The 12,666-nt window shown below is 34.4% G+C and overlaps 1 protein-coding gene across 20 annotated transcripts in view; it reads right to left on the bottom strand.

Moving 5' to 3' along the window:
* CNTLN (centlein) overlaps window positions 1-12,666 on the bottom strand; it is a 393,595-nt gene that overhangs the window by 97,854 nt on the left and 283,075 nt on the right. Inside the window, exon 19 of one of the 20 annotated variants that reach the window (XR_929282.3) lies at window positions 3,532-3,733. The exons of 17 other annotated variants lie outside the window; for them this stretch is intronic. Coding sequence is in view for 2 of the 3 variants with exons in the window: in XM_017014842.2 (XP_016870331.1) it covers window positions 5,364-5,414 (51 nt within the window). In the remaining variant the exon portion in view is untranslated. 2 more of the 20 variants (XM_017014843.2, XM_017014842.2) reach the window with 2 other exon arrangements.

Genomic DNA, 12,666 nt, shown 5'->3' with positions numbered 1-12,666 from the left:
GCAGGTGCTAAATAAAATTGATCACTTGAAGGTAGTGAGTAGAATGGTGGTTACCAGAGGCTACAAAGGGTGGCAGGCGTCGGGGTGAAGAGAACTTGGTTAATGTGTACAAAAATACAGTTACATAGAAGGAATAAGTTCTAGTGTTCAGTAGTACAGTAGGGCAACTACAGTTAGCAATAATTTATTGTATGTTTCAAAATAGCTGTAAGAGAAGATCTAGAATGTTCTCAACACAAAGAAATAAATTTTTGAGATCATGGATATTATAATTACCCACACAATGCATACAATTCACATTGTATGCATGTAACAAAATATCACATGTACCCCATAAATATGAACAACTATTATGTATCAATAATTTTAAAATGGGTAAATAAGGGGTGTGACAGAATACTAGAGAGTTTTCAAATAGTATGATTTAAAAGATAGGTAATTTTGGTAATATTAATGATATTAATTACTAATGGGTGACAATTGAAAAGAGTAGTTTATTATAGGAAATCTTAAGCCAGCTATGATAACACGGACTGGAACAGGAATATGATTCTTGGAAAGAGTCTAGGGAGAATTTTAGGAGATGTATAAAATCACACACCTGATGAGATCATTTATTTTATATTAGTTACATTTAAAAGTTATAGAATCAGACTAGAAATAAAGATTAAATATACAAGTACGGATGTCAATAACTTCATACCTTCTTCAGACAGATGAACAATCAATTCAAATACAATATGGTAAGTTTTCAGAAAATGTGTTCAAAGTGTTTAGCTATGGAAATCACAGAAGCCATATTCTGAAGTTGAAATTTTTTGCCAAATATTAAATGTCCATTCAAATGAAACTAGTAAGAGCAATAAAATTCCTTTGCTTGGCTAACCATATGTGAATCTAAAATTTTTGGACTCAAATTATTATATTTTTAATATAATTTTGAAAAAATTCTACTATACTTAAAAGGGGTAAAATGTAAAATATGTCGGTATTTTTATTTTCTTAAAAATCTGTGCAGGATGATTAGAGAGAGATGACTCTATAGTCAGAACACAAGGTTCAAGATTTTGACTTCCCATTTACTAACCATGACCCATGGATAAGTCATTTACCCACGCGGTCTCTTTTTTTCCTGCATAAAAACAGGATAATAATTCTTATCCAATTAACTCATGGATATTCTGTATTTCTCAAATTGTGAAAGTATGTGAAAATTCTTTGCAAATTTAAAGCATCATAAAAATGTTATATTTCTAAGTGCCTTAAATTTAATTTGATATGAAATATAAATACATACTCAAATACTTTATTTATATATTCCAGTGTATGATATCCCTTGTTCTGAAGATGATTAATTGAAGAATGTTCCCATGGGTACTTTAAGCAACAATTACAGCTGTAGCGAATATAGTCATACAACTGTTGCCACAGTCTACAATAGCTTCCATTAACAATTCTTGAATCTATCACGGGGAACTTCTGTTATAGCTAAGAAGTCTCCAGGAACTTCTGTTACAGCTAAGAAGTCTTATATATTAGCATTGTTGAGATAAGACAAGCTCAGATAAATAGGGTGTTGCTACTATGAATCTGCTTATGTATATTTTTATTGACTACTTCCACAGTTGGCTCATATAATGAGTTTTATGCAGATTTGTTTTTAATTATTACTATAAAGTGGTATTTTTATTTAAAACATCTATATAAATATACAAAGCCAAATATGTAATATCTGATGATATTTCTAGAGCATTTCTGTATTTTCAAAGAATCTATAAAAATAACTCACGATAATAGACACTAACTGCCTCAAATCGTTCAAGGAATGAGCTGGAATAAATTAATAAATAAATATAATTTTTTTAAAAAGTAAATAACAAAGGTCATCCAATGATTAAAGTTCTTAATCATTTAATATATATGCTATTCTGATTTTAGAACACCAAAATAACTTTCCTTCCTATAATTGTGTATTATTGTGACCTTGAGAATGCATTTATTTGAAACATTGCATAGTAAAGAAGGCCTACTAGTTAGAGTCAGAACACCAGAATATGAGCAAAAGATCTAAAACATACTAGTGAAATAAACATGCACAAGTTAACTAAACTCTCTGGATCTCAACTGAATTATTTTTTCAATGAGAATAATTATGTCACAGTTTATAAAGATCAAATAAGAAAAATACTAAGTTTGCAAAAGCTTCCACTGTGCAAATATAACCTACTGAAAAACAAAATCAGCTTTTTCAAAAAATAAATACAACAAATCAAAATAAACTTTTGAGAAGGCATACAGTAGCTGAGTCATTCAGTAGGCATATGAACTTATACAAGTTAATTTCTGTAAAATGGAGATAAAAATAGTATCTAATCTCACAGGGATGTTGTGAAAATTAAATGAATGATTGCACACAAAGTGCTTAGAAGATGCCCTGTACGTAGTAAGCACGTAAAGGTTAGCTATTCTCACTATTATTATTATCATAATCTGTCTGGACTAACTTTTCCCCATTAATATTTATTATCCTTCTTCTGTACTGCAGGGCAGTGTACTCATGAAGTTGAAAAGTGCAAGAGGACTCCTAATAAACCTGAAAGTGACTCTGCTAATTTTGTTACACTACCTCTCATCCTTTGGGCCTTGGTGTCAATGTCACCTTCTCAGAAATGCCATTCCTTGAACAAGGGTGATCTAAAACCAACCATTCTCTCCCTTTATCCCTAATTACAATGCACTCTCTGTAATCTTTAATTATTTTACTTATTCTGTTGCATGGTTATTATATTCTGTCTCTTACCACAAATAAGCTCCATGAGAGTAAAACCATACCTGTGTCTAGTTCACTGTTGTGTTCCCATTATACTTCATGGACCCTAGCACACAGAAGATACCCAAGCAATGCTTGATGAATGAAAGAATGATCTTAATGGGTTACTATGCAGCCAAATTTGGAAATCTGAGACAAGAGGAAAGATGACTACTATGGTACAGATGTGATAATCCACCGTTGAGAGCCCCAACACTGGCTTACTTCAACTAAGGGCAATAATATTTTCAAGGATCAGTCCTTAAATGTTGGTAGTTTTAATTGCCTTAGCCACCAAATACACAGAATCATGAAGTAAAGAAAATATTAAGTGGGAAAAGGAATTGGAATAGTATTGAACTGTCATGCCTATATGTATTAGTATGATTTGTCTTTGTTCTTCTAGTAAATAATTTAGAAAAAAAAGAAAACAGCCACTGAAAGTTCATGTGAGATTTACAGGCTAAAATACACCCACTGTACTCTTTACTCATGAAATTTTAAATATTTTGTTCAATCTTTGATATCATATTTGACAGGAAATACAGGTAAATTTTTTTTAAACTATCTAAAGATTGGCAGTCTGGAAGACAATATAACCTGAAAACCCTCTGTATCACATAGAAAATATATGATATCAAGTATTCTTTTCGAGTATTGCTGAAAAATCTAAAAAAAAAAAAAAAAAGAAGCAGCAACTCAAGTGCTGGGATCATAGTCACCTATAGAGAGCAGCCAGCAGCAGAGCACGGAGCATGTGACTGGAGGTTCGGTAGCACCTGCTGCATGGAAATCACCAGGGCCAGCAACTTCAGGAATTGTGGGAGCAGGAGCTGAAACTTTGACCTTGGGCTCGGAGAGGCCAAATTTGAGAATCCTCTGGAGTGCTGCAACTTCAGTTCAAGGGTAGACTAAAAAATATTGCTAGGATAGAAAGGTAATAAAGAAATATGTCTCTGATTGGGACCAGGGCAGAGTACAAAAATTCTCAGTTATCTCTACTGGGAATGTTTATATCTGTGACTTTACCTCATGTGGGTTGAAATCTGAATTTTTCAGTGTAGGTCAGGAATCTTACTACCCTGAAAATTAACATAAATATTAAGTAGTGTAGTCTGGATGAATGCTCCCCAAAGACAGGGTTCAAGGAATTACCACAATGAATTACAATTTTAATTTGCTGAGCTGCAAATTAAAACTGTACACACATGTAGAAACATCCCATCCTGGCTCAAAGTAATCAGAAAAAATAAACAGGAAGATTAGAACCTCAAGAACATGTGACTTGAAAGAATATATAAGTTTGTTTAAAATGATTAAAGATACAAAAGAAGAAATTAAAGTCCAAGAAGAGAACAAGAGTTCATAAAAAAGATTCTAATAACTCAAATAAAATTATTACATATATAAAATGTATATATATTATATACATGTACATATGGATATAAATACAACATGACAAAAATTTTGGACTTTAGCTCTCTCAGATAACAATATGTAAGATGTAGGAAGACTATCGAAACAAGACAAACAGTAAATAGTTTTAGATTAATGGATATTAGTCTACTTTTTACACTTTTAAAAATTCTATTTCTTACTACAATTTAGAAGTTATACACTTTCTTTCTCTTTAAAACCAATGTGGAGGTAGCTCTAATCCCTTAGCCTTTGCACTCTGGGCCCGTGATGGGAGTGGCAACATGGCAATATGTGAATTGCTTTTGGGGTCCTTCTCTTTTCTTGAAAGATTGTGCAGGTTTATAGTTAAATAGATCTATTGGCCCATCCAGAAAATCCAAGAAGTTTGACAGCTTTCCTTCATTGTCTATTTCTTCATTTCCTTTAGACCCAGCTGGTTGCTCCTGGCATAATCCAATCTCTGTTCCTGATTTCTGCTAAGAAGGATTAGGTCCCTGGTTCACATTCACACAAATCTCCTCATCAAATGATTGTACAGCCACACTCTTAATGTTCTCTTCAAAACAACCTTTCTCGTTATTTGCACTATCAGTAGGCTGAAAAATATCCATATCTTCCAAGTTGTGGTATACTTATGCTTAATAATTTCTGTTCAGTTTATCTCTCTCCTTTAGATTTAACCAAGCAATCAGGAGAAATCAAGCCATTCCTGTAATGCTTGCTTAGAAATTTCAACCAACTTCATCACTCACAAGTTCTATCTTCTACAAAACACTAGAACACAATTCAGCCAATCCAAGGTTTTTTTAAAAAAAATATTTTATCATAAGGATTGCTTTTCCTCTAGTTTCCAGTAGCATGTTCCTCATTTCCATGTGAAACCTCAGTAGAATCACCCTTAACCTACGTATTTCCAGCATGCACCTCAAAAATCTTCTAGCTATTACCCAATTCCAAAGCCACTTCCACATTTGATGTGTTACTGCAGCACCCTGTTCTTGGCACCAAAATCTATTAGTTTGCTTGGGCTGTCAAAACAAACCACCAGACTGGGTTGCTAAAAGAACAGAAATTTACTTTCTCACAGTTCTAGAGGGCTAGCCATCTAAGATCAGGGTGTCAGCACAGTCAGCTTCTAGCAGCAGATCGCTTCCTGGCTTGCAGATGCCAGGTGTCTTGTTGTGTCCTATTATGGAAGAGAGAGTAGAATCGGGTGTCTCTTATTATTATTATTAGGACACTAACCACATGATGAGGGCCCACAGGACCTCCTTTAACTCTAACTACTTCCCAAAGGCCCCATCTCCCAACACCATCAAACCAGGAGTTAGGGTTTCAACATGAATTTTGGAGGAACACAATTCAGTCTGTAGCAATAATACAACTCTTGAAACCAATTTTGTTATTTAAACAAACATTGAGAGATAATCAATAAAATAACTCATCCATTCATATATAAATGAATGATAAAGGTTACTCTGTTTTCGCTAAATATAGATATTATTTCAGGAGAGAGCTTTTTAGAAGATACACTAAACAGCATGTATAACTCCACAAAAATTTCATGTGATATCCGTCTTAGTTTGCTGTCTATTTCTACAACAGAATACCACAAACTAGCCAATTTATAAGAATAGAGTTTTATTTAGCTCATGGTTTGGGAGGCTAGGAAGTCTAAGAGCATGGTTCCGGCATCTGGTGAAGGCCTTATTGCCAGGTCATGACATGGCAGAGAGCATTACATGGTGAAAGGGCAAGAGTGTGCCAGTCAGCTCAGGTTTCTCTTCCTCCTGTTATAAAGCTACCAGTTCCATCATAGGGACCCTGCTGATGACCTTATGTAATCCTAATTACCCTACCTCTAATCAACATAAGAATTTAGGGATTAAGTTTCCAACACATAAAACTTGGAGGACATATTGAAACCACAGCAAAATCTGTCAGCTGAAGTTTTATACATATTTAGTGCCTACTATAAAACATTCAACAGACTTTCTAAAAAGTGTGCTATGGGTAATGGCCACATTTTCTTTGATAATATGATTCTGGTAGTTTGTCTCTGTGAGCTAATACTGTTTGAGTCTTTAGGATGACACATATGTTACTAGAAAGAGGTATCCACAGCCATAATACACTTAAGTAATATTATTGGAACAAAAAAAGAGAGCATTTACATCCTGTTAGTCTTAAGATTTGGGACTAATTTTCATGTTTCAATTAAATTATGAGTAACACCTTTAAGTCAAAAATCTGATCATTCAAACTGGAAGAGTAAGTCAATATAGTCTGCCTTACCCTATTTCTATCCCTTGATGTTCACTTTTGCAATACAGATTTTAATATGTAAGGAGAAAAAATACATTGTTTTAATCAGAAACAAATTTTAAGAAAATTTACCTTAAATATATTCTAACGAATTAAGTTTAATAATAAATGAGATTGAGGGAGGGAAGCAGAGCAAAATGGCCAAACAGAACTCCAGTGACTTTCTTCCCTCAGAAGCATCAAATTCAACAATTATCCAGGGAAGAAAGCACCTTCCTAAGAACCAAAATTCAGGTAAGCAATCAGGCAAACCAGGTTAAAAGCTGGTTTTAACATCATAGCAAAGAAAGAGGCACTGAAGAGGGTAGAAAAGAGAGTCTTGCATTGCCTACATCATCCTTCCCTCATTCCCCAGCAGTGCTACACTGAGCCGAGAGAGAATCTGTGTGCTTGGGGGACAGAGCAAAGTCCTGTCACAGCGGAACACAACACAAGGCGGAATTCTGCTGGTGCCCAGAGAAGGTGCATTTAAACTATCCCCGCCCTAGAGGAGTCCTTCACCCCACTGGTAGGAAACTGACTTCCAGCAAGCTCCACTACCAGCTAACTAAAGTGTCCTGCAGTACTGAATAAATATGAAAGGCAATAATAAAATCTGCGGTCCTTGGGCAAGTCTGGGTGCTGTGCTGGGCTTGGAGCCAGTTGAACTGAAGTGCACATAACCCACTGAGACATCAGTTGTGGTAGTAAAGAGAGTGTTTACATCACCCCTCCCTTTACTCCAGGCAGGGAAGCTCAGTGAGAGACTCCTGATTGCAGAAAGGAGAAGGAAGAGTAAAGAGTACTTTGTCTTGCAACTTGGGTAAAAGCTCTGCCACAGTAAAATAAATCACCAAGCAGATCTCTGAAGCCCCAGATTCCAGGCCCTAGCTCCTGTACGGCATTTCTAGACCCACCCTGGGCCAGAAGAGAACCTGCTGCACTGCAAAGAAGAACCCAGTTCTGGCACGATTCATTACCTGCTGACTAAAGAGCCCTTGGACCTCAAATAAACATCAGTGGCAGCCAGGCACTAGTTGCCAAAGGCCTTGGGCAATAACCACTATGTTGCTAGCTTCAGGAGTGACCTAGCACAGCCTCAGCAGTGGTGGACATCGAAGTGACTCAGTCACCCCTCTCCCAACTCCAGGCAACCCAGCATGGAAGGAGAGACTCCTTTTGTTTGGGGCAAAGTGAGGGAAGAGAATGACAGTCTCTGTCTGGCAATCCAGGGAATTCTCCTGGATCTTACCTAAGCCCACCAAGGTGGTACAAGTCTGCAAGAATCACAGTGTTACCGGGATTAGGGTATCCCCTAGCGGATTTGTGGCTTCAGTGACCCAAGACTTAGGTCATAACACTCAATTCCTTTGAATATCTAGAAAGCCTTCACAAGAAGGATGAGCACAAAAAAGCCCAGAATCCAAAGATTAGGATAAATACCTAACACTTTCATGCCCAGACACCAGCAAACATCCACAAGCAACAAAAACACTCGGGAAAACATGACCTCAATAAATGAACTAAATAAGGCACCAGTAACCAATCCCAGGGTGACAGAGATATGTGACCTTTCAGACAGAGAATTCAAAATCACTGTTTTAAGGAAGCTCAATGAACCAAGAAAACACAGAGAAAAAATTCAGAATCCTATCAGAGATATTTAACAAAAATATTGAAATAATTTTTAAAAACCAATCAGATATTTTGGAGCTGAACGATTCAATTGACAAACTGAAAAACGCATTAGAGTCTCTCAACAGCAGACTTGATCAAGGAGAAGAAAGACTAGTGAGCTTAAAGATGGGCTATTTAAAAATACACAGGAGAATAATTCACGTATCAGAGGGTGATAGAATTAAACCAAATAAGAGATTTAACCCAAAGAAGACTACCTCAAGGCACTTAATAATCAAAATCCCAAAGGTCAAGGATAAAGAAAGGATCCTAAGAGCAGAAAAAGAAAATAAATAACGTATAAAAGAGCTCTAATACAGCAGACTTCTCAGTGGAAACCTTACAGGCCAGGAAAGAGGGACATGACATATTCAAAGTGCTAAAGAAAAGAACGTTTATCGTAGTGTATTATACACACCAAAAATATCCTTCAAACACTAATATGAAATAAAGACTTTCCCACACAAACAAAAGCTGAGAATTTTGCCAACACCAGATCTGTCCTACAAGAAATGCTAAAGGGAGTTCTACAACCTGAAAGAAAAGGATGTAGATAAGCAGTAAGAAATCATCTAAGGGTAAAAAAACTCACTGGTAATAGCATGTACATACACAAATACAGAATAACAGTGTAATTGTGATGTGTAAACAAAAAAGATATAAACAACAAAAACTGTAAAAGTGGGGATTGGATCAAGTTAAAATGGAGAGTGTATATTAGGTTTCTCTTTGCTTGTCTATTGTTTTTATAATCAGAGTTTAGTTGTTATCAGTTTAAAATAATTGGTTACAAAGCATTATTTGCAGACCTCATGGTAACCTGAAATCATAAAACCTACAACAGATATATACACACACACTAAAGCATGAAATTAAAAACTACTACCAGAAAAATCACTTTTACACAAAGGAAAATAGGAAGGATGAAAGAGAGGACCACAAAACAACCAGAAAATAAATAACAAAATGGCAGTAGCAAGTACTCATCTATGAATAATAATACTGAATGCAAATGGACTAAACTCTCCAACCAAAAGATACATAGTAGCTGAATGGATTAAAAAACAAGACCCAATGATACACTACCTACAAGAAACTCATTTCACCTATAAAGATGCACATGGACTGAAAATAAAGGGATAGAAAAAGATATTCCATGAAGTGGAAACCAAAAAAGAACATGACTAGCTATACTTATATCATATTTTTAAAATTTGAGACAAAAAAATATAAAGAGAGAAAGAAAAGGTCATTATATAATGATAAAGGGGCCAATTTAGCAAGAGGATATAACAATTATAAATACCTATATATCCAGCACCGGAGTACTCAGATATAAAAAGCAAATATTGTTAGCATTAAAGAGAGAGCCAGACTTCAATATGACAATACAATAATAGCTGGAGATCTCAATACCCTACTTTCAGCAATGGACAGATCATCCAGATAGAAAATCAACAAAGAAACATCAGACTTAATCTACATTATAAACCAAATGAACCTCATAGATATTTACAGAACACTTCATCAAACAGCTGCAGAATACACATTCTTCTCCTTAGCATATGGATGAGTCTCAAGAATAGACCATATGTTAGGCCACAAAACAAATCTTAAAAATTGCAAATAAGTTGAAATTGTATCAAGCATTTTCTCTGATCACAATGGAATTAAAGTAGAAATCAATAACAAGAGGAACTTTGGAAATTATAGAAACACATGGAAATTACACAATATGTTCCTGAATGACAAGTGAAGAAATTAAGAAACAAGAAATTAAGAGGAAAATTCAATAATTTCTTGAAACAAATAATCGAAGCACAACATACCAAGACCTATGGAACACAGCAAAAGCAATACTAAGAGAGAAGTTTATACCTAAAAGTGCTTACATCAAAAAAGAAGAAAAATTTCAGATAAACAACCTAATGATGCATCTTGAAGAACTAGAAAAACTAGAGCAAACCAAACCCAAAATTAGTAGAAGAAAAGAAATAATAAAGATCAGAGAAGAAATAAATGAAATTAAAACGAACAAAACAATATGAAAAAAATCAATAAAACAAAAAGTTGGTTTCTCAAAAAGTAAAACAAAACATACAAACCTTTAACCAGACCAAGAAAAAGAGAAGACAAATAATATCAGAGGTGAAAAAGCAGATATTACAACAGATACTGCATAAATTTAAAGCATTGTTAGTGGCTACTGTCACCAACTATATGCCAATAATCTGGAAAATCTAGAACAAATAGACAAATTCCTAGACATATACAATCTACCAAGATTGAACCATGAAGAAATCCAAAACCTGCACAGACCAATAGCAAGTAACAAAAGCAAAGCCTAATAAAAAGTCTCCCAGCAAAGAAAAGCCCAGGACCCAATGGCTACACTTTGGGAGGCTGGTGTGGGTGGATCATGTGAGGTTAGGAGTTCAAGACCACCCTAGCCAACATGGTGAAACCCCAACTCCACCGAAAATACAAAAGTTAGCCAGGCGTGGTGTTGCGTGCCTATAGTCCCAGCTACTCAGGAGGCTGAGCCAGAAGAATTGCTTGAACCTGGGAGGCGGAGCTTGCAGTGAGCCGAGATTGCGCCACTGCTCTCCAGCCTGGGTGACAGAGTGAGACTCCGTCTCAAAAACAAACAAAAAACTATACTACAATAAAAATAACACTGTATATTATTTATCAATGTACATATGTATGCAACAATTTTTTAAATTATTGGAAAATTAGTATGAACACCTGAAAGTGTCTCCAGAGACAGGTAGAAGAGGATGGGGCTGTAGATAATGATTAAATAAAAATTTAGCTTTATTTATCACATTTTCTATCTTTAAAATATACAGTGGAAGAATATATGTTAATTTCTGAAGGGTATAAGGTTATTTCTTATATATGCTTTCTATTTCTCTGTATCTCCTAACTTTCCAAAAATCTTTTATAGAAAACAAAGTTAATTTCTCATGTTTGAATGCCTAGTGTGAGAAAATATCATTATTTTCCTACTTTTTGTCTAAATTAAATAGTGTATGACCTGAGAAGCATAAATAAATTTATAAAATTAAACATTGCATGTGTATAACATTTTCCTCATATTAAAAGGGAGCTCTGAAGAATGGGGCTAGCATGTTTTTTACTCGTATCTTTACACCTGTGGCAACGGATACATACTTTGAACAAATGCAAAAGATTTATACTTAATTTTTCTTGAAAATAGTTGATGGCTATTTATATATTCCATCTATAGAATAATGCTTAGTATAGGGCTATAGCGCATTTCAAAATAGGTTTAGAATATTTTACAATGATATTTACAGTACCTGCTTTTGGGAATCACAAATCTTTGCCATTTACCTAGTATACCATTTAGCTCATAGTTGTAAAATACTATCTATATGTAACACATATCTTTAGAGTAGGCAAAATGTAAAAAAAACAAACAAACAAACAAAAAAATACAGTTAAAGTGATGACAGCTCAGTCTAAACATGTAAAAAATCTATTATCTTGGTTAAAATTTTCTTCCAAAACTTTAGCAGTTTGGCCTATACAGTTCAAATTTCTTCTTCTAAGCTTTTTTGAGGAAATTCTACAATGGTTTAAAACACATTGCAATGAAACTGACAGGGAAAAAAATACCAAAGAATACTTTGTGTTCCTCTTATCAACCTCTTAACGAACAATGGTACTTTAATTACATATGAAAAAGTTGAAAGTCTTTGAAAAGTTTTCCTGAGTGTAAAGTAATATCTTTAGTATGGAGGCTGCCCAAATATTGAAATCTGTCTTAAATGTTAATTATTAATGCACAATAAATTCAAGACCTATAAGTTCAAAACCTACTGATGCCTGATTCAATACTTTAGAATAAAAAAAATGTTGAGGGTTTTAAAATCACAAGATACAGATATAAAATAATTAAATTAGAATATTTACCGAGCATATAGGAATTCTACCATAAATAGGCAGGAAAAGAAAGGCTGAACTTAATCTGTTTACCTAAGTTCAGTTATTAAAAATATCACAGAAATCAACAGATACTACCCAAATCCTCAAGTTGGTAACCTGAAAAATTTCCCAGTAGATGAGAATCTGGGATCTTGACATCTTCCATCCCAAGCTTTGGTTATTATGTTAGAGCCCAGAAAGACTATACCAATGTATTAACTAAAGAGAATTTGTCTGTATCTATGTAATATTTGGGGAGTTACTTTATCAGTAGAGAATTCTAAGTTTAGTTACCACATCAGTTATTTCTCCATATGTACAGAATATTCAAATTAAATCTAATTCTAGTTAATCACTAGTTACATTTATTTGAGTTCATAGCGATTTTTGAGATGGAAAATTTCTAAATTCTGATTCTTACTCTTTCCTAAAGTACTTTTTTGAATATTAGATGTTCTTGGACCTTTCTATCATCTAAAGAAAATTTGTATTAAAAAATAAAA

The sequence above is a fragment of the Homo sapiens genome, chromosome 9 (genome assembly GCF_000001405.40).
Source record: "Homo sapiens chromosome 9, GRCh38.p14 Primary Assembly".
NCBI classification, from domain to species: domain Eukaryota; kingdom Metazoa; phylum Chordata; class Mammalia; order Primates; family Hominidae; genus Homo; species Homo sapiens.
Note: the sequence above shows the minus strand (reverse complement) of the source record. Positions and strands in the feature narration are given on the sequence as shown.